This window comes from Homo sapiens, chromosome 13 (assembly GCF_000001405.40).
Source record: "Homo sapiens chromosome 13, GRCh38.p14 Primary Assembly".
NCBI classification, from domain to species: domain Eukaryota; kingdom Metazoa; phylum Chordata; class Mammalia; order Primates; family Hominidae; genus Homo; species Homo sapiens.
In genome coordinates, this window is record NC_000013.11 from 52,067,681 (window position 1) to 52,095,215 (window position 27,535).

General features: G+C 42.0%; 1 protein-coding gene across 17 annotated transcripts in view, besides 3 other annotated features; it reads right to left on the reverse strand.

Moving 5' to 3' along the window:
* The window catches only part of NEK5 (NIMA related kinase 5), a 95,463-nt gene that overhangs the window by 34,070 nt on the left and 33,858 nt on the right, over window positions 1–27,535 (reverse strand). For 7 of the 17 annotated variants that reach the window (XM_047430292.1, XM_047430293.1, NM_001365552.1 and 4 more), the window contains 8 exons: window positions 25,374–25,555; window positions 21,567–21,633; window positions 19,658–19,774; window positions 18,597–18,683; window positions 15,580–15,672; window positions 8,383–8,463; window positions 8,078–8,146; window positions 4,264–4,390 (listed from right to left, as the gene is read on the reverse strand). In XM_047430292.1, the coding sequence (XP_047286248.1) occupies window positions 4,264–4,390; window positions 8,078–8,146; window positions 8,383–8,463; window positions 15,580–15,672; window positions 18,597–18,683; window positions 19,658–19,774; window positions 21,567–21,633; window positions 25,374–25,555 (823 nt within the window). Of the gene's footprint in view, window positions 1–1,584; window positions 2,462–3,015; window positions 4,039–4,263; window positions 4,391–8,077; window positions 8,147–8,382; window positions 8,464–14,557; window positions 14,633–15,579; window positions 15,673–18,260; window positions 18,456–18,596; window positions 18,684–19,657; window positions 19,775–21,566; window positions 21,634–22,309; window positions 22,553–25,373; window positions 25,556–27,535 lie in introns of those variants that run through there. The other 10 variants (XR_941575.3, XR_941574.3, NM_199289.3 and 7 more) reach the window with 10 other exon arrangements.
* Window positions 11,217–11,975: an enhancer, noted in NCBI's record as "H3K27ac-H3K4me1 hESC enhancer chr13:52653033-52653791 (GRCh37/hg19 assembly coordinates)". NCBI's record gives its function as "activates a minimal SCP1, AML or CMV promoter by ChIP-STARR-seq in primed H9 embryonic stem cells {active_cell/tissue: H9 hESC(primed)}" and the evidence as "EXISTENCE:reporter gene assay evidence [ECO:0000049][PMID:30033119]".
* Window positions 11,976–12,733: an enhancer, noted in NCBI's record as "H3K27ac-H3K4me1 hESC enhancer chr13:52653792-52654549 (GRCh37/hg19 assembly coordinates)". NCBI's record gives its function as "activates a minimal SCP1, AML or CMV promoter by ChIP-STARR-seq in primed H9 embryonic stem cells {active_cell/tissue: H9 hESC(primed)}" and the evidence as "EXISTENCE:reporter gene assay evidence [ECO:0000049][PMID:30033119]".
* Window positions 20,153–20,447: an enhancer, noted in NCBI's record as "tiled region #10224; HepG2 Activating DNase matched - State 5:Enh". NCBI's record gives its function as "activates a minimal TATA promoter and a strong SV40 promoter by Sharpr-MPRA in HepG2 cells {active_cell/tissue: HepG2}" and the evidence as "EXISTENCE:reporter gene assay evidence [ECO:0000049][PMID:27701403]".

The window sequence follows — 27,535 nt, forward strand, 5'->3', positions numbered from 1 at the left end:
TTTTTTTTTTTTTTTGAGATGGAGTCTTGCTTGCTCTGTCACCCAGCTGGAGTGTGACTGGAGTGTGGTGGCACAATCTTGTCTCACTGCAACCTTCACCTCCCAGGTCCAAGTGATTCTTGTGGCTCAGCCTCCCAAGTAGCTGAGATTACAGGTGTGCACCACCACACCTGGCTAATTTTTGTATTTTTAGTAGAGATGGGCTTTAGCCATATTGGCCAGGCTAGTCTCGAACTCCTGGCCTTGAGAGATCTGCCCACCTCAGCCTCCCAAAGTGCTGGGATTACAGGCATGAACTACCATGCCTGGTCAACCATCATGTCATTTTCTGAGTGGTGCCTTTTCCAAAAACAACCCCTAGCCAGTCAGCATACTAGGAGAACAGGGTGGAGCTGCCAGAAATTCATGCCTTATGCAAATGAAACCCCCAGCCCTATCAGGTTCCTCATAAAAGCCTTTGTACTCAGCTGTGAAATGGCAACCCTCTTGGGTCCCCTCTCCACAGTGAAGAGCTTTCCTCTTTTGTTTATTAAATTTTCGGTCCAAACTCACCCTTACTGTCCACCCTCCTTATTCTTTTGGTCGTGAGACAAAGAGTTCTGGGTAATACCTCAGACAACGATACTGCAATATTTATTTGGAAAAAATATTTCCAATATATAGCACCGTTATTTCTCTCCATTTATTCAAGTGGTCTGTAAATACCTCAGTAAGGTTTTACAGTTTTCTTTCTATATGCCGCACAATTCTCATAAAATTTATTCCTAAGTGGATGAATACACAAATACACACACACACACACACACACACACACACTCATATATATTTGCTGTTATTACTATAAATGAGATCTGACAACCAACTGAGGAAAACATTTGCAATACATATTACAGGCAAAGGTTTGATTTAAATCAGTCTTATAAAGAAAAAAACAAACATGCCATTTTCAGTAGAAAAAAGGATGAAGGGCATGAGTACATAATTCATAACAGAAATATGAAGGGTTGGCCAGGCGTGGTGGCTCACGCCTGTAATCCCAGCACTTTGGGAGGCCAAGGTGGGCAGATCACCTGAGATCAAGAGTTCAAATACCAGCCTGGCAAACATGGTGAAACCTCATCTCTACTAAAAATATTTTAAAAATCAGCTAGGCGTGGTGGCGCGCACCTATGCCAGCTACTCAGGGAGGCTGAGGCAGGAGAATCGCTTGAACCCAGGAGGCGGAGGTTACAGTGAGCCAAGATTGTGCCACTGCACTCCAGCCTGGGCGACAGAGGGAGACTCCCTCTCAAAAAAAAAACAAAAAAAGAAAAAAGAAAAAAAAAGGAGAAATATGAATGGTCAACAAACATACGGAAAAATCCTTCAGCCTAAATAATAATTACAGGAATACAGATTAAAATGAGAGACAATTTTCAGTATACTACTGATGAAGGTTTTTTTTTCTTTCATCTAAAAAACAGCCAACCCCCTCTGCTTTTCCCAGCAAACTGATGCAAAGATAACCATTGAATTTACCCCTTACACAGTTGACTGCTTTCCCTGAGGCCATTAACGGCTCCTGAAGGGCCAAATCCCACTCACCTCATCTGGCCTTTCTCTTCCAGTTGATGCTGCCAATTCCTGTGCCTCCTCCATGACCTGTCTCTCCTCCTTTGGCTTTACTCTCTCCTGATTCTCCAAAGTTTGTTTATATAGTGGTAGGGTTATGTCCTAAGCTCCATTTCCTTCTCACTCCAGTCCTTCTGCATAGGTATTTTGACCATCACCAAAGTTAAAAACCACGGATATGCTAAGGGCCACCAAGCTATATCTTTATCCCTGATATGCCCCAGGCCTTCAGTCTTATATAGAATCTGCAACTGATGCTCTATAGACCTAAATCTCAACATGTTCCAAATTTAGATCACTACCTTGTCTCTCCCGACCCCATTACCCTCCATGTGATGTATTTTTGGTTGATGAAAGCTTCATGCATTTGAATTAGAAAACTGGGAATATCCTTGAGCCCCTTCTCTTCCTCAGTTCCCACACTCAGTATCTATTCTCCCTGCACCACTCTGGCTCATGCACTTGGACTCTTCTCCTGCCTTCAGTCTTGCCCTCCATGCCATCCTTTGCTCTGCAGCCAGCATGATCCTTCTCAATCACAAAAATGATGGCATGTGAAGCCCTGGAGGAGTGCGGACCTCCCTGACTCTCCACCCAGCTCGCACTTCAAACAGTGATTAACATTTCAGGCTCAGAAAACATGTTTTGTGACTTTTTTGCTCATAACACTTCTGTGATATTGAGAACAGGGCCCAGATTTCATTCATCTTTGAGCTCCCTACCAGTGAGCAGTCTTTGGCACAAAGGAGATCCTCAATAAGATGCCTGCTGAATGGAGATTTTTCCAGAAGGAAATGAGGCAGAGAGTATTCCAGGAAGAGGAAACTGAGCCAAGTCAGTTCTGTAAATGCTGTAGGAGAAAATGGGCATTCCAGCTGTAGGAGAAAATGGGCATTCCAGCAGGCTGTATGGATCCCATTTTCCATGGAAGGAAAGAGGCCATGCTGGGATGAGAAAAGTGGGTCACAGCAGAATTAGGCCATGTAGTGTTAAATGTGATAATATGTGGAATGGACCTTATTCTGCAGGTATTATCCAAAAAAAAATCTGAGCAGAGTAATAATATGCCAAGATAACTTTAGTAACTGATATCGTTTGGCTGTGTCCCACCCAAATCTCATCTTGAATTCCTGTGTGTTGTGGGGTGACCCAGAGGGAGGTGGTTGAATCATGGGGGCGGATCTTTCCCATGCTGTTCTCGTGATGGTGAATGAGTCTCACGAGATAAGATGGTTTTAAAAAGAGGAGTTCCTCTGCACAAGTTCTTTCTCTTTGCCTGCTGCCATCCATGTAAAATGTGACTTGCTTTTCCTTGCCTTCCACCATGATTGTGAGGCTTCCCCAGCCATGTGGAACTGTAAGTCCAATTAAACCTCTTTCTTTTGTAAATTGCTCAGTCTCAGGTATGTCTTTATCAGCAGCAAGAAAATGGACTAATACAGTAACCATTTAGAGAATGAAGGGGAAATACTAGAGAAAGAAGGTCACATAAGCAAATAAGGCAATACAGCAAGGGGAAGGAAAAGGGAAAATGAAAAGACAGCACTTAATTTAGGCACCTAGTATGTGCCAGGTCGTTTATACATCAAAACTCACTTTGGTCCTCACAATTACCCTGTGTGGTTATTCCTACTACTATTATCCCCTGTTCCTAAGGTGAAACTGAGATTCAGTGTTGGAATAACTTGTGAAAGAAAGGTCACATAACCAGAAGGTGGCAGCAACAGCTGAGATTCAATTCCCATCTGTCTCTGAAGCCTACACCACACTACTGAGAGATGACAGAGCCCTAAACCAGTAACAGAGAGAATGAAGGAAGAGGAAGACTCCAGAGACATCTCAGAATAGACACTATGCTAAGGGTGCACCCTGGTGACAGCACTGACTGTGAAGTTCTCATAAGATAAGTAAACAACAAAAAGGGAGGGGTCCCAGGTTGGGGGTGGGGATGGGGGAACAACTGTTCTGAGAGATGACTCATCACAGACAAGCTGCTGTCACATCCTGTTCCCAAATACCTCATTCCTTCCACATGTAGCCCAAGCAGCAAAACCTTATCTGCACACCTTATCAGCATGTAGCTCCTCCAATATGACCCTATAAAACTTCCCTCTAGCCCCTGCCTCTTAGCAGACAGCCTCTTCTCTGCTGTGCTGCCCATTGCACTCTTGCAACGTATCTCTGTACTTTAATAAATCTGCCTTTCTTTACTTACAATTGTGTTGATAAATTCTTTTACTGCCCACAACACTGGCCCCAGCCAGTTGCATCTGTGACACTAACCAAAATAAAGGGTCACTGGGAAGAGCACAGAAGAGCTTGACTTTACACAGCTGAGTTTCAGATACTGGCAACACTTGTCCATGGAGCTTCCCAGAAGACAATGAGAAAGACTGGTAAGTCTGGAGCTCCTGGGAGAAGCCAAAGCTGCAAGAGGGAGTGGGTATGGAGCAGGAGAGGAGGGCTGGATCTCAGGGAGTGTGGCCACTGCATGGGTGGCAGGAGAATAATAAGTGTGTTTCTGCCTTGCTTAGAGAGGGCAGAAAGGGGTCAAGTAACAGTGGAGCCGAGGCAGATGCATGGGGACAGAGTTCAAAATGGGTTGCTAATAAAACAGTTCCTTCTCATTTACAACTTTCAAGAAACACATACCTGCTTCTGGGCAGTGAAGTTTTTCAAATGCTTTGTCTGTATAATCTCCATGCTCCTTTACACATTCATATTCCTTAAACTTCATGCCATCCTCAAAGGTCAAAGTTTCATTTGGTATATCCATTGCCTAAATCAATTCCACAGTGTTTCATGATAAATTAGCCATATTTTGAAAGAAAGAAAAACCATATTTTCGTGTTCCTAGTAAAATTAATTAGCAAGGTATATAGTAAATATTCAACAAATGTTTACTAAACAAATAAATCCATAGAGTTTTAAAACTAGAGCTATGTTAGATAAAAACAGAAATGTTTTCATTTCTTCTCCATGTTAACAGTGTCAAGCACTGGTCATAAGGCAACTTAATTTTATCTAGACTTTCTGACTTCAATAGTATTCCACTTCAGCTCCATTCTACAGTGCTCTCAAGCTTTTCTCATTCATGCCCTGTTTTAAGTGTACAACATTCTTAACCAGCTCCCTAAATCTGCTCCTAGTATTTTGTAGTCAATACCAAAATGACCACTTCTGTTTCACGCAGATCAAAGCAAAGAATAAGAAAGAGTGGCAGTTAAAACTTTTTGGACTCCATTCTTTCATTTCAGCAGGGCAACGTCAGCACCTCACTTCACAGAAGCTCTGTGAGAGTACCACTTCTCAAGTTCCCACTCAGAAGCAGGTCCCCAGATCTGCTCCACTCTGATGTCTCACCTCTGGGGCATTTAGGAATTTATGGTTGAACAGAGGTGAATGCTAACTATCACCACTCTAATGAAGTCTTTATGTAGCAAATGCTCATAAAAATAAGAAATGCTAACATGAAAATGTTTTAAGCTAATAAAGAACATTAAATAAAAACTGAGCATCAGGTATAATTATTCATACTTATATTGACTTAAAAGGTGAATTCAGAAAAGGTAAAATGGAAAAATAAACCAATTAATTTTGACATTTGTTATAGGTCTGATAAAACCAGGATAAAAAAAGATTTTGAAATCAACTAATAAAATGAAATTTGGATTTACTGTATTGGATTTACTGTATTTACTCCTTGCTGTGGCAAGGAGAGCCCAAATGCATAAATGAGATTTACTTAAAGTTATCAATAACTAATTAAGACCTAAAATAAATGTGCCTGGTTTCAGGGTACCTGTTCAATTTTTTAGGTCAGTATATTAGTTGTTGACAATGTATCAGGTCTTCTATTTTAATTTGGCTATGATAAAAATTAATATTATGAGTAAAATAGCTCTTTTATTTAAAGAAAAGTAAATTAAAATGTAATAATTTATCTAAAGAAATAACACCAATAAAATAAAATGGGAGAATAAAAAGTATTTGGAGGACTCATTTGAACACCAAACATTTTTCTTTCCCTTTTTTTTTTTTTGAGACAGTGTCTCACTCTGTTGCCCAGGCTCGAGTGCAGTACAGTGATCTCAGCTCACTGCAACCTCTGCCTCCTGGGTTCAAGTGATTCTCCTGCCTCAGCCTCCTAAGTAGCTGAGACTACAGGTGGGTGACACCACACCCAGCTAATTTTTTGTATTTTTAGTAGAGATGGGGTTTCACCATGTTAGCCAGGATGGTCTCAATCTCCTGATCTCATGATCTGCCCGTCTCAGCCTCCCAAAGTGCTGGGATTACAGCTGTGAGCCACCGTTCCCTGGCCTTGAGCACCAAACATTTTTCTAGAAATATTTTCTAAAATTCTAGGCATCCAAATAAGAAAAGAAGAAGTCAAACCATCTCTTCACGCTTATGATACTATAGGTTGAAAACCCAAAGACTCGACCCAAAGGTTCCTGGAACTGATGAACAACTTCAGCAAAGTTTCAGGATACAATATCGAAGTACAATAATCAATAGGATTCCTATACACCAATAACATTCAAGCAGAGAGCCAAATCAAGAACGTAATCCCATTTACAATAGCCACCAAAAAATAAAATAAAATACCTAGGAGTACATCTAACCAAGGAGGTGAAAGATCTCTACAAGAAGAGCTACACAACACAGAAAGAAATCATACATGACATAAACAAATGGAAAAACATGCCACATGCATGGATTGGAATAATCAATATCATTAAAATGGCCATACTGCCCAAAGTAATCTATAGATTCAACACTATTCCTGTCAAACTACCAATGTAACTTTTCACAGGATTGGAGAAAAAAAAAACTATTCTAAAATTCATATGTAAACAAAAAAGAGCCCAAATAGCCAAAGTAATTCTAAGCAAAAAGAACAACGCCAGAGTCGTCACATTACCCAACTTCAAACTATACCATAAGACTACAGTAATCAAAACTGTATGGTACTGGTTCAAAAACAAACACATAAACCAAGGAACAGAATAGAGAACCCAGAAATAAAGCCACTCATCTACAGCCATATAATCTTTGACAAAATCGACAAAAATAAGCAATGGGGAAAGGACTTCCTATCCAATAAGTGGTGCTGGGATAGCTGGTTAGCTACATGCAGAAGAATGAAACTGGACCCCTACCTTTCACTGTATACAAAAATCAGCTAAAGATGACTTAACAATTTAAAAGTAAGACCTTAAACTATAAGAATCCTAAAAGAAAACCTAGGAAACACCATTATGAACATGGGCCTTGGGAAAGAATTTGTGATTAAGTCCTCAAAAGCAATTGCAACAAAAACAAAATTGACAAGTGGAACCTAATTAAACTAAGGAGCTTCTGCACAGCAAAAGAAACTATCAACAGAGTAAATAGACAACCTACAGAATAGAAGAAAATATTTGCAAACTATGCATCCAACAAAGGTCTAATATCCAGACTCTATAAGGAACTTAACTGAACAAGAAAAAACAACCCAAATTTTAAAGTGGACAAAAGATAGAAAGAGACACTTCTCAAAAGAAGACATACAAGCAGCCAACAAATATATAAAAGAATACTCATCATCACTAATTATCAGAGAACTACAAATCAAAACCACAATGAGACACCATCTCACACGAGTCAGAATGGCTATTACTAAAAAGTCAAAAAACAAATATTGGCGAGGCTGCAGAGAAAAGGGAATGCTTATGTAGTGTTGGCGGAAATGTAATGTAAATTAGTTCAACCACTGTAGAAAGCAGTTTGGATATTTCTCAAAGAACTTAGAACTACTGTTCAACCCAGCAATCCCATTACTGGGTATATATCCAAAAGAAAACAAACCATTCTACCAAAAAGACACATATACTCACATGTTCATCCCAGCACTATTCACAATAGCAAAGTCATGGAATCAACCTAGGTGCCCATCAGTGGTGGTCTGGATAAAGAAAATGTGGTACATATACACCATGGGATACTATGCAGCCATAAAAAAGAATGAAATCATGTCCATGCAACATGGATGCAGCTGGAGGCTACTATCCTAAGCAAATTACATAGGGATAGAAAACCAATTACATAGGGATAGAAAACCAAATTCTGCATGTTCTCACTTATAAGTGGGAGCTAAACATTGGGTACTCATGGACATAAAGATAGCAACAATAGATACTGGGAGCTACTACAGTGGGGGTAAGAAAGGAGGGAAGCAAGGCTTGAAAAACTAACTACTGGGTATTATGCTCAATACCTGGGTGACGGGATCATTCATATCCCAAACCTCAACATCACACAACATATCCAGGTAACAAACCTGCACATGTACCACCTGAATCTAAAATAAAAGTTGAAAAAAATTATCCCTACAGCCTGTGAAATAATTTCATGAAACATGCTATTAAGATATATGCATTTTCTGATACCTACTAATGGAAATTTAGACTTAATGGCATACCTCTTCCTCTTGGAGGATGTTTTCATCAGAAATACATTTGTCTAAATTAATTTCAAATTTTACCCCCTTCTAGGAGAAAGCAAAAAAAAAAAAAAAGTTTAGCAATTCAGTAAAAGCCTTAAAATTACAACTCCCTAGGTCAATTTTGTTTGACATTATAGATTCTTAAAACCATTGGTCTCATATCACAAAATAGAGCAATTCTATAAAATACTAGGGGGAAAATCATGCAGGCAACCGAGATCACAAGGTGGCTCCCCAGCCAGCTATTTAATATGGAACCCAAAGACAAAAGTATTTCTTACCTTAGCTTTATATTTCTGTTCTGGATTTTTACTTTCCTTTGTGTTCTGAAGCCTCATTTGTTTCAAGTCTTTTTCAATGTCCTGAAAATTTAGAGAAAAATACAATTCTCTCACTGTATGTTTACATGAGTTGATTTCTGCGTTAAATCTGATGATTGATTTAATAACAAAAACAAGCTTTTATAATGGAAAGTTAATAATAATTAACTAAAAACTTGGGCAGAGTATCCATTAACTTGAAATATTAATACATTTAACACTTGCACTTCAGTGGGTGGAATTCTATAATGTGACAATACTTATCACTCCAGTCCACTCCAGTCCAACCCAATTCAATTCAAGAATGTAATTTTGACTACAGGATCTTTCCCTTAAGAGGCTTATGATCTTAATCAGGAAAATAAGCAAAGTGCGCAACTCATGACGGTATAAAGGAAGGAGAGGGCTCTGAAAATTGGTAGGCAATTTCAAGTAGGAAGAGAAGAAAACTAAAAGTGGATGACAAGAATTTCAAAGGCACAACTGAGATGTGAACTCCATATTCGGAGGTTTCTTAGCATCCTATCTTGGGCCATCTGCTCTTCTATTCCCTAATACAAGGGGTTTCATTCATTCCTATGGATTTAAATGCCACTGTTAAGCAGAGACTCTTAAATGTGTATCTTCAGGCTTCACTTTTCCTCTCCTCTGAGCTCCAGACTCACATATCCAACTGCCTACTTAGCATTATCTTCATCTTAATATTCACTCCACAAATTCACACTGAGCACTCCCCAGGGGCCAGAAACCCTCAAAATGGGTTAGCACAGTGGACATGACCAGAAAGGTCCCTGCTGACACGAAAATTACATTTTACTGGAGTAGGATAGGTAATAAATGAGTTAACGAATGACATAATTTCAGAAAGTGTTAAGTGCTATCAAGGGAACAAAATAGGATAACAGGACAGAAAATGAGTAGGGAGTGAGAGTAATACAGGCAAAGCTTATCTGGCAATCAATTTAAGCCCTGGAATGATATTGGACCTTGGCATATGCCAGTCTGGGGAGAGCATTTTCCATGCAGAGGGAACAGTGGGGTAAAGGCTCCAGAGCAGGTATGTAAACTCTCACAACTTCTCTAACTCAATGTCCAAATGGAACTCTTGAGTGCCCTCCACCCCTCTCCAGCAGTGGGCACTGAAAACGTATGCTTTCAGCCAAGACAGAGTATCAGAAACCAGATTTAATTCCGCACCTGAAACAACCAAAGAGCCAAATCAAACATATAATAGATAAATGGTTTTTAATACATTAGACATCCAGCAATGAAAGACAGTAATCCCTAAGAAACAGAAAACCAATGAGACAAGCCCTGCAACTGCCCCAGCCTCCTGTCTTGAGAGAGTTTGCAAGCCATGGTGCGGGGATGGGGAACTGAAGAGGTGCAGGGATGGAAACCGAAGATGAGTGTGGCCAACTCCCTGAGTTGATAAGACAAGGCTTGGGGGGTATTAAGGTGCTAGAGTCTGAAAGACAAAGACCCAAAGAGGAGAGAGCTGCACAGAGAGAACTGAAACACTCATACAATGTCAAGGGGAGTGTAACACAGTGCGACCATTCTGGAACACCATTTGGTAGTTCTCTGAAAGTTAAATATACACCTACTATATGATCCATCCATCCCAGTCCAATGTATTTACCCAAAAGAAAGAAAAGAAGCACATGACCACATAAAGATTTGTACATGATAGCCAGGCACAGTGGCTCACACCTGTAATCCCAGCACTTTGGGAGGCTGAGGTGGGTGGATCACCTCAGGTCGGGAGTTCGAGACCAGCCTGACCAACATGGTGAAACCCTGTCTCTATTAAAAATACAAAATTAGTCAGGCGTGGTGGCGCATGCCTGTAATCCCAGCTACTTGGGAGGCTGAGGCAGAAGAATCACTTGAATCCAGCAGGCAGAGGTTGTGGTGAACTGAGATTGTGCCATTGCACTCCAGCCTGGGCAACAAGGGCGAAACTTGTCTCAAAAAAAAAAAAAAAGATTTGTATATGAATGTTCCTAGCAGCTTTATTTATAATAGCCAAAAGCTGGAGACAACCCAAATATCCATCTACAGTGAATGGATCAATAAATTTTGATACATTCATACAATAGAATATACTCAGCAATAAAGAATAATAATGAACTATTAATATGTGCAACATAGATAAATCTCAACATTATTATGTGAATGAAAGTAGCCAGAAAAAAGAGCACATACAGCACGACTCCATTTATGTAATCCAAACAAATCTAGAAAATTCAAACCAACCTACAGCGACAGAAAGCAGATCCGTGATTGCATGGGGATGAGATGGGAGGAGAGGTAGGGAGAATAAGAGAGAGGAGTTTACAAAAGGGCGCAACAAACTTTTGCAGGTGATGGATATGTTCACTATATTGATTGTGGTGATGGGTTTCATGGGTGTGCCTGCCAAATTTTATAAAGTATATACATTAAATATGTGTGGTTTATTATGATCAATTATATCTCAATAAAACTGTTTTTTTTTTTAAAGAGATGGCGGACTCAAGTCCTAATCTGTGGCAGTACATTGGAGTAGTGAGCAAGAGACTGCACACCAGCCTAGAGTTCCTGCCTCAAGATCCCAGACTCCATGGCTACACAGTTAATCAGTCTTCACAGGGCCAAGAGGGCCTTTCAGATGACATGACCCTGGAGAGCTTGACAGCACACTAAGGTTGAATGTCCCACCCACTGGAGTAGATTGGGGTTGGAATCTGAGATCGTTGTATTTTAAGGAAAGTAAAGTAATGGAGCACTTATTGTACAATTGAGATGACCAGACTATCCAAGCAAATCAGACAACCAACTTCACAAATATAAGTAAGATAGATAAGTCATAGTCCTGATTTCAGACTTCATACTACTGCAAGGCAGAAAAACCCTTCCCAAGTTTGCAGGGCAAATAGCTAATAATGCTTCAAACTGACACAGGCTGGTGTATGAAGTACTTGGAAATGCTGTGGAAATACAGATGAGGCAGTTATTAATTCTAAGGGAGAAAGAGAAAAAAGCTGTGCTAGAAACTTCACCAGGAGGTCTGATAGATGTGTTCTGCAAGAAGAGAAGAGAGGGAAGGGATATTTCAGTAGAGAAATAAGCATTTTACAAAAGCCTGGAGGTTAAAAGGAAGATGTCTTTTTAAATAAGTAGGGCTTTAAAAAGTAATCTGATCCCTCTCCCTCTCCCTCTCCCTCTCCCTCTCCCCTCTTTCCACGGTCTCCCTCTGATGCCGAGCCGAAGCTGGACTGTACTGCTGCCATCTCGGCTCACTGCAACTTCCCTGCCTGATTCTCCTGCCTCAGCCTGCCGAGTGCCTGCGATTGCAGGGGCGCACCGCCACGCCTGACTGGTTTTCGTATTTTTTTGGTGGAGACGGGGTTTCGCTGTGTTGGCCGGGCTGGTCTCCAGCTCCTAACAGCGAGTGATCCGCCAGCCTCAGCCTCCCGAGGTGCCGGGATTGCAGACGGAGTCTGGTTCACTCAGTGCTCAATGGTGCCCAGGCTGGAGCGCAGTGGCGTGATCTCGGCTGGCTACAACCTCCACCTCCCACCCGCCTGCCTTGGCCTCCCAAAGTGCCGAGATTGCAGCCTCTGCCCGGCCGCCACCCCGTCTGGGAAGTGAGGAGCGTCTCTGCCCGGCCGCCCATCGTCTGGGACGTGAGGAGCCCCTCTGCCTGGCTGCCCAGTCTGGAAAGTGAGGAGCGTCTCTGCCCCGCCGCCATCCCATCTAGGAAGTGAGGAGCGTCTCTGCCCGGCCGCCCATCGTCTGAGATGTGGGGAGCGCCTTTGCCCCGCCGCCCCGTCTGGGATGTGAGGAGCGCCTCTACCCGGCCGCGACCCTGTCTGGGAGGTGAGGAGCGTCTCTGCCCGGCCGCCCCATCTGAGAAGCGAGGAGACCCTCCGCCTGGCAACCGCCCCGTCTAAGAAGTGAGGAGCCCCTCCGCCCGGCAGCCGCCCGGTCTGAGAAGTGAGGAGCCTATCCGCCCGGCAGCCACCCCGTCTGGGAGGTGAGGAGCGTCTCCGCCCGGCAGCCACCCCGTCCAGGAGGGAGGTGGGGGTCAGCCCCCGCCAGGCCAGCCGCCCCGTCCGGGAGGGAGGTGGGGGGGGGTCAGCCCCCCGCCCGGCCAGCCGCCCCATCCGGGAGGGAGGTGGGGGGGGGTCAGCCCCCCGCCCGGCCAGCCGCCTCGTCCGGGAGGTGAGGGGCGCCTCTGCCCGGCCGCCCCTACTGGGAAGTGAGAAGCCCCTCTGCCCGGCCACCACCCCGTCTGGGAGGTGTACCCAACAGCTCATTGAGAACGGGCCATGATGACAATGGCGGTTTTGTGGAATAGAAAGAGGGGAAAGGCGGGGAAAAGATTGAGAAATCGGATGGTTGCCGTGTCTGTGTAGAAAGAGGTAGACATGGGAGACTTTTCATTTTGTTCTATAGTAAGAAAAATTCTTCTGCCTTGTGATCCTGTTGATCTGTGACCTTACCCCCAACCCTGTGCCCTCTGAAACATGTGCTGTGTCCACTCAGGGTTAAATGGATTAAGGGCGGTGCAAGATGTGCTTTGTTAAACAGATGCTTGAAGGCAGCATGCTCGTTAAGAGTCATCACCACTCCCTAATCTCAAGTACCCAGGGACACAAACACTGCGGAAGGCCGCAGGGTCCTCTGCCTAGGAAAACCAGAGACCTTTGTTCACTTGTTTGTCTGCTGACCTTCCCTCCACTGTTGTCCTATGACCCTGCCAAATACCCCTCTGCGAGAAACACCCAAGAATGATCAATTAAAAAAAAAAAAAAAAATGGTTAGGGTGGTAAAGGCGATGTTATATGTATTTTACCACAGTGAAAAAAATCACTTAAAGAAATAAAAAATATGTCATTTAAAAAAAAAAAAGGTAATCTGAGACATTTAGAGCTTTGGGTATGTTTGGGGGAAATGTGAGCAATGAGGCTGGAACATTCTGTTAGGAACAACTCACAAAAGTCTAGCATGCCATGCTAAGAGAAATGGCAGTCGCCATTGATTGTCGTGTAGAGAAATAATGTTCAAATCAGTATTTTGGAAAGATAACTCTACAAGTAGAGACTTTTTTAAAGTGTCTTATTATATAGCTGCATATTCCCTTCAAAAAAGATAATTAAAACCTAAATCCAAAAATTAGACAAATTAAGTGATAATTATTTCCTTTACAAAAGTTTGCAAAGGTATCTGCTGCTGGATTGCTCTGGAGGAGCCTTCAGGAAATATCAGATGCCTTTTCTTTTTTTTTAGAGATGGGGTCTCACTATATTACCAAGGCTGGTCTCAAACTCCTGAGCTCAAGGGATCCTCGGCCTCCTAAATAGCTGGAACTATAGTCTCGTGCCACCATTTCTGTCTTTCAGATGGCTTTTTTGTTTGAAGATATTGATTAGAGTGCTGACAGAACTAAGGAACGGATACTTTATTATACATATTTGTAGTAAAAGTTCTGTAACCTTCTTATAAAAAATCTAAAAAGTAGAGAGACAATAATCATTCCTACTCACACCAATCCAGATACCACCAATTACCACCATTGGCATTTTGGTGTGTTTTCTTTCAAAGTTACTCCTCTTGCATAAAATATACAAGATTTTATTCACCCAATTCCTGATACAAACTTTTTGAGGCTTCCAGTGGTTTATTTTTAATTACCTGACTTATTAAAAACTTTAAGGCACTGGATTTACTCTAACCAGGTTAAAAAATGTGAGAGAAAAACATGTCTGTAACATCTGAGCCGTGTTTTTATGGAATGTGACTGTGATCCTACTGGCACCTTTAAATGACAAGTTTATAATACCTTGAGGATTTTCCATTTCTAGTTGACTCTGGACCAAGCTCTAATAATAAATATAATTTAAAACACAGAGAATTACTCTAATTATAAAGATAATAATAATTCGCTCAGGCGGGGTGGCTCATGCCTATAATCCCAGCACTTTGGGAGGCTGAGGCAGGTGGATCACCCGAGGTCAGGAGTTCAAGACCAGCCTGGCCAACATGGTGAGACCCTGTCTCTACTAAAATACAAAAATTAGCTGGGCGCGGTGGCAGGCGCCTATAATTCCAGCTACTCAGGAGGCTGAGGCAGGAGAATCGCTTGAACCTGGGAGGCGGAGGTTGCGGTGAGCCAAGATCGTGCCATTGCACTCCAGCCTGGGCAACAAGAGCGAAATTCCATCTAAAAAAAAAAGATAATAATAATTCTTAGTATGGGCCAAATCATTGAGAATCTTCTTACTAAGCAAAAATAAAAGCACACTTGGGCTTCTTATTCGCAAAATAAATATAACTCCTTGGAAAGTAAAACATTTTATGTAATTATTTTATGTAACCATAAAAGCATTGTTTATCAGGTCATTTCACAGGTTTAATAATTCTCAGAATTGGTTGAAATCAACAGATTCATCTTGTATTATAATTGCATTATCTTTTCTCAGAAGGGAAAAAAACTCTCTTGAGATTTATTTGTTATTTCAACTCTGCCCAGGCTCTTACCTCCACCAAAAACATAAGGTTGAAATGGAAGAGAACTTGACTCAGATTTCCTGACCAATGTGTCTGATACACTGACTTAGACCCTCCAGAGAGTGGAACGTTCTTATACTAAATAGCAGCAGTTCTCAAACTTGGCTGCTTACTAAATCACCCAGCAAGCTTCTGCAGACAGAATGCCTGGGCCTCATCCCAGACCATCTGGGGCAGAGAGAGGCATCTGAGTTTTTAAAAGTTCTGGTAAAAAGGCGGTGGCTCATGCCTATAATCCCAGCATTTTAGGAGGCCGAGGCTGGTGGATCACGAGGTCAAGAGATAAAGACCATCCTGGCCAACATGGTGAAATCCTGTCTCTACTAAAAATACAAAAATTAGCTGGGCATGGTGGCGCATGCCTGTAGTCCCAGCTACTCGGGAGCCTGAAGCAGGAAATCACTTGAACCCAGGAGGCAGACACTGCAGTGAGCCAAGATCGCACGACTGCACTCCAACCTGGCGACAGAGTGAGACTCCGTCTCATAGAAAAAAAAAAAAAGTTCCCTACGTGGTTCTGCTGCACAGAGAAGGGTAAGAGCCACTTGGGGTAGAGCACACACACTGCAAGCACACACATCTGATCATAGCCATCATTACCTGCACAGGTGCTTCTCCCTCAGATGCATCTTGATGGACAGGCAGGTTACTCTTCTTCACCAAATAGGTTTTATGACTTATTTTTGAGTTCTCCTTTAACACAAATTATACACAGTCAACAAGATTGGTTCTGAGTGAGCTCTGAAGGCTACTTGGCTGATGCGCGATCAATGATGAAATGGCTGGACAGAACCCTTTTTATAGCTCCTTTTCCCCGCCACAGCTTCAGTATTTCCCAAATCCTTCCTCCATAGCCTCTGTAGAAATGTCTGATATCCACCATTTTTTTTTTTTTGAGATGGAGTCTCACTCTGTCACCCAGGCTGGAGTGCAGTGGTGCGATCTTGGCTCACTGCAAGCTCTGCCTCCTGAGTTCATGCCATTCTCCTGCCTTAGCCTCCCAAGTAGCTGGGACTATAGGCACGCACCACCACGCCTGGCTAATTTTTTGTCTTTTTAGTAGAGACAGGGTTTCACTGTGTTAGCCAGGATGATCTCGATCTCCCGACCTCGTGATCCGCCCACCTCAGCCTCCCAAAGTGCTGGGATTACAGGCGTGAGCTACCGCGCCTGACCAATGTCTGCTATCCATTTTTGCAGGGCTCAGGCTGCCCATCCCAGATCAGCCTTAGACATAAGGCTGATGATGGCTCCAGGCTGCCCATGAGCCAGGCCTCTGCTCCAGAGAGAACAACCTCCAGGCTGCCCCTCCCAGCACACACAGTCCTCTGTCCCAACCTTTGCATGGTTCTTTCAGAATGCCCACTCTCCTCCTTTAACTCTGCCTCTCCAAATTCCACTCTTTAGGCCCCACCCACTTCTTCCATAAATACCCGCTACCTGCTCATTCTGCTCATCTTGGCTCCTGTGCACCTACAGGGCTTACTCTATGATTGTTTTATACATGTGTCTCGTCATTCCAACCATTTATAAGTAGAACTGCATATGCCAGAAAGAATAGTGGTTATAATTGTATTTTTTTATTTTTTGGGACAGGGCCTCCCTCTGTTGCCCAGGCTGGAGTGCAGTGGAAAAATCACAGTTCACAGCAGCTTCAACCTCAGCCTCCCAACTCAGCCTCCTGAGTAGCTGGGACTACAAGCATTTGCCACCATGACCCACTAATTTTTTAAATTTTTTGTACATATGGAGTCTCATTATGTTGCCCAGGCCGGTCTCAAACTCCTGGGCTCAAGCGATCCTTCTGCCTTGGCCTCCCAAAATGCTAGGATTACAGGCATGAACATGAGTAGGGGTTTTAGAGTCAGATTTTCATTTTATTTTACTTTATTTTTTTGAGACCGAGTCTTGCTCTGTATCCCAGGCTGGGGTACAGTGGCACAATCATGGCTCACTGCAGCCTTTAGCTCCTAGCTCAAGCAATCCTTCTGCTTTAGCCTCCCAAGTAGCTAGGACTACAGGTGCAAACCACCATGTCCGGCTAATTTAAAGAGAGAGAGAGAGAGAGAGAGAGTGAGAGAGAGAGAGAGAGAGAGAGAGAGAGTGTGTGTGTGTGTGTGTGTGTGTGTGTGTGTGTGTGTGTGTGTGTGTGTGTGTTTAGAGCTAGGGTTTCCCTATGTTGCCCAGGCTGGTCTCAAACTCCTAGGCTCAAGCAATCCTCCCACCTCAGCCTTTCAAATTGCTGGGATTACAGGCATGAGCTACCGTGCCCAGCCTAGAGTCAGATATTTAAATATTTCGTCTGCCTTGTAATAGCTACGTGACTTTGGATGAGCTACTTAACTTCTCTGTACAGGGGTAAATAAAAGAAAGTATGAACGTGATATGGTTTGGCTCTGTATCCCCACCCAAATCTCACCTTGAATTGTAATAATCCTCATTTGTCAAGGGTGGGGCCAGGTGGAGATAACTGAATCATCGGGGTGGTTTCTCCCATACTATTTTAATGGTAGTGAGTAAGTCTCACAAGATCTGATGGTTTTGTAAATAGGAGTTCCCCTACACAAGCTCTCTTGCCTGCCTTCATGTAAGGCATGACTTTGCTCCTCCTTTGCCTTCTGCCATGATTGTGAGGCCTCCCCAGCCATGTGAAACTGTGCGTCTATTACACCTCTTTTTCTTTATAAATTACCCAGTCTTGGGTATGTCTTTATTAGCAGTATGAGAGCAGACTAATACAGTATGTGAAAGCTCTAGTTCATGGCCTGGCAAACACAACTGAATTGCACCATACATTCATTTGACTTATATGAATTTATCTGTATGCACTGCGGTGGGAGAAAGAGAGAGAGAGATCAATTTCAGCAGCATGGTAGCTCTACTCAATGAGTGTGTGGCCAAGTGCATGTGGGATGGGAGACAGCTGTCTCAGTGCCTGCAAGCTTCTCCTAGGAGAGCATTCCAGGGCACTGAGTGTGTTCCTAGTGTTTCAATAGCCATGTGTCTTTCTTACAACATGGTTTCCAAACACAGGCTGGCTATTTCATGTGAAGCTCTTCTGAAGAAGCAGTGATCTGTGCCAACTCTAGAGACCTTCTTGGGAGATGGAAGGATGAATTTCCAATGTGGCGCCTTTAAGAGATTTTTAAGAATCAGTTCAACTGCACTCAGATTTTGCCTTAAATAGCCTTTAGAACCTTACCCTGCAGAGAGTTGAAAAAATGCTAGTGTGTTGGGTTTGTTTTTTTCCCACCTTCTGGGCATGAACTTACACTCATTTTGGACTTTCTGCATCTAATCCAGCTCTGGTCTAAAGTTGCCACTCAATAAATATGTATTGAGTGATTCATGAAGGAAACAATCAATAAGTACTTTTAATAATAGCCATTCCTGAGAATCTCAGATATCCTTATTATCTTGTGTAGTCTCTCATAAACCATAATAAACTGAAGCTCCAATGAGGTCTGACAGCTTTCCTATTAAAAAAGAAGTCTACATGATTATCTCTATGATAAAACTTTATCTTTTCTATAAGGAAATCATTACTTTTAATACCAGCTCAATTTAGTTAGCTCTAAATCGATAGAACAATGTTTCCCCTAGAAGAATGAATTTACCTCTGGTTCTCTCCCCATCTTCTTTCTAATTTCTTTCATGTCATTGTGGTACTGTTGGCGTATTTCCTCTAACTGCTTCCAATATTCCTGGAAAGCAAACCCAATCCAGAAACTTTAAATGTTTATGAACACCATAACAAAAATAATCTTTCTGCAGCCTACAATTTCAAAAGTGTGTAATATAAAATAAGGTTAGAAAAATATGTTGCTCCTAAAGATGATAATCTGCCTTATGTTTTGGCTGCAGTACTTCACTCCCTGTGAGACAGTGGCTTTAGCTACAGAGCTCAATTTTATATATAACCCAAATGTGTTCATGATGTACACTTACTTTATAAATCCCACTTTTATATATAACCCTCTTATGCACTGAAGTTTGTTCCTCCCCAAAAAGAGATATGTTGAAGTCCTAACCCCCAGTGCCTTAGAATGTGACCCCATTTGAAAACAGGGTCGCTGCAGATGAGACTACTTAAGATGAGATCATACCAGTGGGCCCTTAGTTCAATATGACTGATGTCCTTGCAAGAAGATGGCCATGTGAAGACAGGGACACACAGGAAGAACAGCATGTGATGAAGGCAGAGAATGGAGTGATGCGACTGCAAGTAAAGAAATGCCAAAGATTGCCAGTGACGCACCAGAAGCTAGGAAGAGGCAAGGAAGGATTCCCCTACAGGTTTCAGAGGGCACTTGGTCCTGCTGACACCTTGATTTTCTATTTCCACTCTTCCAGAATTGTGAGACAATACATTTCTATTGTGTTAAGCCACCTAGTTTGTTGAACTCTGTTACAGCAGCCCAGGAAACTAATACAAATCCCAAACCTGTTACTGATGGACAGTTACTCTATGAATCTCAAGGTGAAAAGCTTTATGAACTTAGCCATATCGCATTATCTGAGAAAGTGAAATACCTAACTCTGTATCCCCTATAACACTCAGCATGGTGTTGACATATTCAGGGGCACTGTAGGAAATAGAAGTAACTCCCTATTACAGTACAAAAGACAGTAATACAAAGAAATACAAGGGTAGCCCTGGAATTAAACAGTTTTTAACCTGTTCCTTCATTTCGTTTTTCCTAAATGGCAGCTCCTGGAATCTAGGCTCTTCTCCATTACTTCTTAGCTCTTGTCTCTGGTTGTAATTTGGCTCGGCAGAAGATGGACGAAGACCCTATTTATTGAATGAAATAATTTATAATGCATACTTTGATTTCGGAAACATCTTCTGATTTGACATTGACTTTTTCCTATAAATAAGAATTATATCACTAAGCAAACTCAGTATTTGGGAGTTTTTTTTGTGGTAAGTAGTAGAATTTTCTTAATTATAAAGCATTAAAAAATATATATTTTTTTCTGTTTGAGAGCGTCTCACTCTGTCACCCAGGCTGGAGTACAGCGGCATGATCTTGGCTCACTGCAGCCTCCAACTCCTAGGCTCAAGCAATTGTCCTGTCTCAGCCTTCCGAGTAGCTGGGACTACAGGCACCCGCCACCACACCCGGCTAATTTTTTGTATTTTCAGTAGAGACAGGGTTTCACTGTGTTAGCCAGGATGGTCTCAATCTCCTGACCTCGTGATCTGCCCGCCTTGGCCTCCCAAAGTGCTGGGATTACAGGCATGAGCCATCAAGCCCAGCCTTTCTTTTTTTTTTTTTTTTTAAGACAGAGTCTCACTCTGTCACCCAGGCTGGAGTACAGTGGCGCAATCTTAGCTCACTGTAACCTTTGCCTCCCAAGCTTAAGCAATCCTCCGGCCTCAGCCCCCTCAGTAGCTGGGACTACAGGCACACACCACAACACCTGGGTAATTTTTGTTTTTTTTGGTAGAGATAAGGTCTCATTATGTTGCCTAGGCTAGTCTCGAACTCCTGGGCTCAAGCAATCCACCCACCTCAGCCTCCCAAAGTGCTGGGATTACAGGCATGAGCCATAATATCTGGCCTAATCACTTTTTTGTTGTTGGTTTTTGTTTTTTTTGTTTTTTTTGAGACAGAGTCTCGTTCTGTCGCCCAGGCTAGAGTGCAGTAGGGCGATCTCGGCTCACTGCAACCTCCTCCTCCTGGGTTCAAGTAATTCTCCTGCCTCAGCCTCCCAAGTAGCTGGGATTACAGGTGTGCACCATCATGCCTGGCTAATTTTTGTATTTTTAGTAGAGACGGGCTTTCACCATGTTGGTCAGGCTCATCTTGAACTCCTGATCTTATGATCCGCCCACCTTGGCCTCCCAAAGTGCTGGGATTACAGGCATGAGCCACCGCACCTGGCCCCTTGTCACTTTTTTTAATGTGCAGCAGAATCTTTAACAAAATAGAACCAAAGCACTACAGCACTGCAAGGAAATTTGAAGCTCATCTACTCTAAAAATTGTCATTTATAGAAAAGGAAATTAAGGCTCAGATAGGCTGAATGAACTGTCCAAGGTCCCACAGAAGAGATAGAGCCAAGGAAGAAACCGGACTGCTAAGACTCTGATTCAAGCCTGTTCCCATTATTTTATTTAGCTATTAAAAACTGGGGACTCGGGCCAGGTGCAGTGGCTCACGTCTGTAACCCCAGCACTTTGGGAGGCCTAGGTGGGTGGATCACCCGAGATCAGGAGTTCGAGACCAGCCTGGACAACATGGTGAAACCCTGTCTCTACTAAAAATACAGAAGTTAGCTGGGCGTGGTGGTGGGCGCCTGTAATCCCAGCTACTCAGGAGGCTGGGGAAGGAGAATTGCTTGAACCTGGGAGGCAGAGGTTGCAGTGAGCCAAGATCACACCACTGCACTCCAGCCTGGTGACAGAGCGAGACTCTGTCTCAGAAAACAACAACAACAAAAACAAAAACAAAAAAAACTGGGGACTAGTAGAGAGTATTCTTGACCTTCTGGTGGAATGAACTTTGACTTGAAAATCTGTGAACAGAAAAACTATTAGGAAATTCCTAATTGCTTCCCATATTTGGTATTTTACTTACCAATTGCTTCTCCACTTTCAACTTATATTGTTGAGCTTCAAATTTTCTCTGAAGGTACTCAGCAGGCCTTAGAAAATAAGAATGTTCAGCTTAAGTAGAAACTTGAACAAATCTTAGGCACCAATTTGACGAGTAATTTTCAGTTTAGTAATGAGATTCACAATTCACCAGTGGCTTGAAGTTCCAAGTTCAAGAAGTAGTTCACAGTTACAGAATCTTTACATTGGAAAAGAAAATTTTGGAATCAAAAGGAAAAAAGGATGAAGAGTAACAAGTGGGGATACAGGAGAGGATTAAACAGAAAAATATTCTTATCCAGTGATTTTTCTTCAGGACAAGATTCAGTCCTTCCATTCTCTATAATATGTTGTGGGGAGGAAAACAGACCCACACCCAGAAGTTCTCACGCTTTGTGTAGGTGTCTAATGTACAGGTTGTCGCTCCTGATTTAACAATAGTGGCTAGATGTGGTGGCTCACACCTGTAACCCCAGCACTTTGGGAGGCCGAGGTGGGTGGATCACGAGGTCAGGAGTTCGAGATCAGCCTGGCCAACATGGTGAAACCCCGTCTCTGCTAAAAAAAATTAGTGGGGCGTGGTGGTGGGCACCTGTAATCCCAGCTACTGGGGAGGCTGAGCAGGGAGGCAGAGGTTGCAGTAAGCCAAAATCGCACCACTGCACTCCAGCCTGAGTGACAGAGTGAGACTCCATCTCAAAAAAAAAAGAAAAAAAGAAAAGAAAAGAAAAAAAAGAATGGCTGCATATCTGTTTCCTGCACCACATACTGAGCTCCCTGAGAGCAGAATGTGTCCCTCCATCCATCCCTTTATCTCCGCACATAAATGCTTAATGAGGAAAGAAATAATGGTTTAGCTGTCTCTCCAAATGTTTAAGGTATTTTTCCAGCACAATTTTAGTCAATTCCAGTCAAACAATTTTCAAGTTTATACTCACATTTTATGTATCTTTTTTTTGGCAGAATTTCCTGTAAAACATTTCTGTAATTATTGGTTGCTAAATAAAAACCGCATTTCAGACCATAAGTTTTTTGGAATACGAGTAACTTCTAAGGCTCCAAAGACAGAACTGTAATTTCAGAAATAACTCCTTTAGGAAGGAACATCATGATAAGCATCCCCAATTTACAAAGAGGCAAGTTAATAATCAGGGATTTAGAAATAGGATGAAATGACAAGCTAAAGTCTTTGAGTCTTAGTTCCTCAGCTGTAAAGTGGGCATGGTACCATTTCACAGGAATTGATACGAGGATTAGAAGAGATTAGGGCTGTGAAGTGCCTGACACACAGATAGTTCTTGAATCAAATGAGGGTAAATTGTAGCACTCATCTGTCTCATAAGCCTAACTGGCACATGTATCAATATCTTCATGAGAAAAATGATTCCAACACCCAGGGGCTGTCCAAAAGACATTCTCTATCTCTCTGTCTACCTATTCCCTCTCCACCCCCCAAATCCTATACAAATTCCTCTTCCTCGGCCGGGCATGGTGGCTCATGCCTGTAATGCCAGCACTTTGGGAGGCCAAGGCGGGTGGATCACAAGGTCAGGAGATTGAGACCCTCCTGGCTGACACAGTGAAACCCTGTCTCTTCTAAAAATACAAAAAAATTAACCAGGTGTCGTGGCAGGCGCCTGTAGTCCCAGCTACTCTGGAGACTGAGGCAGGAGAATGGTGTGAACCCAGGGGGCGGAGCTTGCAGTGAGCCAAGATCGCGTCACTGCACTCCAGCCTGGGCGACAGAGCGAGACTCTGTCTCAAAAAAAAAAAAAATCCTTTTCCTCCATCCCATGGCCTGTAATTGGACCTCCAGCAGACAGAAAGCTGGGGATGAGGGAGTATACAAAGAGGAGGGGTTACCAGGCATCAAAGGGGCATCCAGGAAAGAGAAGGACCCTTCCTACTGTTTCATGTGAGAGCTTGGGAGATATAAAATCACATGTGGTCAAAATAATTGATAGCTTGACAGCTCTCAAATCTAGACAAAGAGTGGAAGATATATTTTCCCAGTGGTTGAGAAAAGAGAAAGGGAGTTTTGTGGCTGCTCCAGTTCTTCTGTAAAATCTATGTCCCTCACTAATTGAGTCCAATATGGATATTACAATTTGAACGGACAGAAGACATAACTTTTGATAATTGTGGAGATAATTAAAAATGTGTTATGAAGATCGATAAAAACCACAACAGTGCCCAATATCTTTAAAGATAAAACATATGCTTTTCCCGTTATATGTTTCTGAAGAAATTATTCTCTTATCATTCTTGCTTATCTCATTTTCACTATTAATGAGATTGCCATCCCATAGTATCTTGTGTTTTTCATAATTCATCCAAAATTTCAACAATAAACAATCAGAGTCGCCAAAGTAACAAATTCTTAACCCTGAACAAAAAAAATTGATGACAAAACATTTTTAAAATAGAACTCTTAGACTTAAGTCTTCAGGCCTCTGTTAGGTGTCAATTATTCTGAACACAGGAATGTCAACATCAGTGTGAAAAAAATTTGAAAATATTGTAGATCTGCAGAAATCTATTATGGAGTAAATTTTTTGAAAATCTACCATAAGACCAATTTAAGAATACTATTTTCTTTCTAACATGTCCATATTTTGAAAATCCCTAGAACATAAATGCCGAATGAAATATATCTTATTTCTCAAAATGTCTCAAATGATCATTTGATTTTAATGATTCAATTATTGATTCATATTAGTAACCTCTTTGAGAAATGAAATATACACAACTATTTTTTCACCTGCCATATAGTGGAATTTAGTAGGAGGAAGAAAGAATATTAAAAGAGCAAGGGTATGGGTCTGTGCCTACAGTTAAGCAGCTCTATGAATAAGAAAATAAGCTAGATCAGACTTGAGATGAAGAAGGGTTACAGGAAAAAGAAGATAATTTATCAATTACTTATCAATTGTAATAATCTATCAACACATTTATTGCTTTATTTAATTACAAGACTTTGTTACTTCTGTAGGCTAAATTATAATATACATTACATCATAATTACAACACTTCTCACAGTACATGTAATTCCCACGTAATTTATAAGAACACGTAATTGTTATAAGCTTGAGATGTCAACAGATTTGATTTGTGTAACATATATGACATTCTGATGGAAATAAAAACAAAATCTTTCTAACAAAAAAAAAAGAAAGAAAGGCTGGGAATAGTGGCTCTTGCCTGTAGTCCCAGCACTTTAGGAGGCCAAGGCAGGTGGATCACATGAGGTCAGTGGCTGCCTGGTGAGAGGGTACCTGAGAATTTGAAGAACCAACTAACAAGCAGGTATAGGGCTGACATAGAAAGAAGGGACTAACATGGCCAGGCATGGTGGCTCATGCCTGTAATCCCAGCACTTTGGGAGGCTGAGGCGGGCAGATCACCTGAGGTCAGGAGTTCAAGATCAGGTTGGCCAACATGGTGAAACCCTGTCTTTACTAAAAATATAAAAATCAGTTGGGCATGGTGGTGCACGCCTGTAGTCCCAGCTACTGGAGAGGCCGAGGCACGAGAATCGCTTGAACTCAGAAGGCAGAGGTTGCAGTGAGCTGAGATTGCGCCACCGCACTCTAGCCTAGGCATCAGAGTGAGACTGTCTACAAAAGCAAACAAAAGAAAAAGGTCAAGGGAACTATGTGTTTAAAATGAAGATTTGGAAAGTTCTTCTTGGATTATTTGTGTTAGGAGAATTTGGATTTCAGAATAATAAATGTTAATATATAAAGATATTTTTAGATTAACCAAAGCTTAAGCTAGACCACAATATTACCATTGACTTGGGGATGGACCATGCCTCGTTTCCTGACCGTAATCCTCAACTCCAGTATTTTCTTGAGGAATAGGGTGATAACTTGGTTTGTGGGCTCTCCTCCTCAGCATATCAAGTTGAGCATAATAATAATCATAATGTCCACAGACAGCAGCAATTTTGGGTCTTTCTATCATTTTTATCTGAAGAAAACAAGAGGGGATGTTTTTAAAAACCATAATACAGGCTGGGTGCAGTGGCTCACACCTGTAACCCTAGCACTTTGGGAGGCTGAGGCGGGTGGATCACCTGAGGTCAGGAGTTCAAGACCAGCCTGGCCAACATGGCAAAACCTCGTCTGTACTAAAAATACAAAAATTATCCAGGCATGGTGGCGCACGCCTGTAATCCCAGCTACTTGGGAGGCTGAGGAAGGAGAATCACTTGAACCCAGGAGGTGGAGGTTGCAGTGAGCTGAGATCATGCCACTGCACTCCAACCTGCACAATGTGAGCGAGACTCCATCTCAAAAAAAAAAACCATAATACAAATTTATAATACTTGACAATATAACAGTGACCATAGCTAAGATAAGGCACTGAAGGTGTATTTTTGCTGTTTTTCTTCTATACTTTTTTTTCCAGAATAATCTTAAGAGTCCCCAAATCCTAGAGTACAAAAAGACCTAAGTACTAGATAGTATAGTGGTTTACAATTTTGCTAAGGTATGGATATGAATCATGCATACTTCATGGCTAGTATGTGAAAAATACTTAGCTAGTGAGTATGCCCAGGCAACCCAAGATCCAAAACTAAACTCAGAATTATTGTTTTCTATTTTTCATAAACTCATTTATACCTTACCATACTTTACAGGGAAATAAAAAGCATAGTGAAACTCACACATATGGGGATTTGCAACATTTTTAGTTTCTGATAAATTGACTAAATGCAAAATGGCATCATGACTTAAAGGAAAGAAGATGCTGAATCAGAATCATTCTTCCAGAGAAAATATTAAAAAAGGTCATATAACAGCCATGATGGGCATATCACCATCCCAGCCCTCACCACCCTTCCCAACCAGAACAGAATGAGAATAGGAGAACCAGAAATGACAGTTTATCTTCCAACTGAGTAGAAGCCACTGAGCTAGAAGACAAGAAACAGATCAAATTAAGATATAAAAGCCAGTCAAGACCTTCTTGCTAAAGAGCAAAGTGGGGTCAATTTAACCTAAAGCGTGGCAACTCTGTCTAGTTTACAGTTTACAGTTAATAATAAAAAGAGAAAAAAAGATAAAACTACTGGAAAGACCTAGGAACTAATAGTTGGGAATATGAATAACAAGAACAATTAAAACCAAAATGTCCTCATGTAAAGAGGTAACATGTTATATTCTTTGTTGTTTTTACTGCTATATGGTTCACATATATGTTAGATTGGACCATATGAAATTGCACATAATTGGCTGGGCGCAGTGGCTCATGCCTGTAATCCCAGAACTTTGGGAGGCTGAGGCAGGCGGATCACGAGGTCAGGAGATCGAGACCACCATGGCTAACAAGGTGAAACCCCGTCTCTACTAAAAACACAAAAACAAAATTAGCTGGGCGTGATGGCGGGTGCCTATAGTCCCAGCTACTCGGGAGAATGGCACAAACCCGGGAGGCGGAGCTTGCAGTGAGCCAAGATCGTACCACTGCACTCCAGCCTGGGTGACAGAGTGAGACTCCGTCTCAAAAAAAGAAATTGCCCAGAATTGACCATAATTAATCTAGAAAAATGGCACTTTCATATAGTTCTATTTAAATATTTAAGTAAATGTATAAAATTTAGTTCATTAATCTAAATACAAATTATATGTTTATTTTTAAAATATTTTCTTTTCTTTTTAAATTCTGAGACAGGATCTCACTCTGTCACCCAGCCTGCAGGACTGTGGTGTGATCATAGCTCATCGCAGCTTCAAACTCCTGGGATCCAGGGATCTCCTGCCTCATCCTCCCAAGTAACTGGGACTACAGGCACATGCTACTGTGTCCAGTAAAAAACAAAAAATTTTTTTTTTAATTTTACTTTTTGTAGAGGTGGGGTCTCAATGTGTTGACCAGGCTGGTCTCGAACTCCTGGGCTGAAATGATCCTCCTGCCTCAGCCTCCCAAAGTGTTGGATTATAGGCG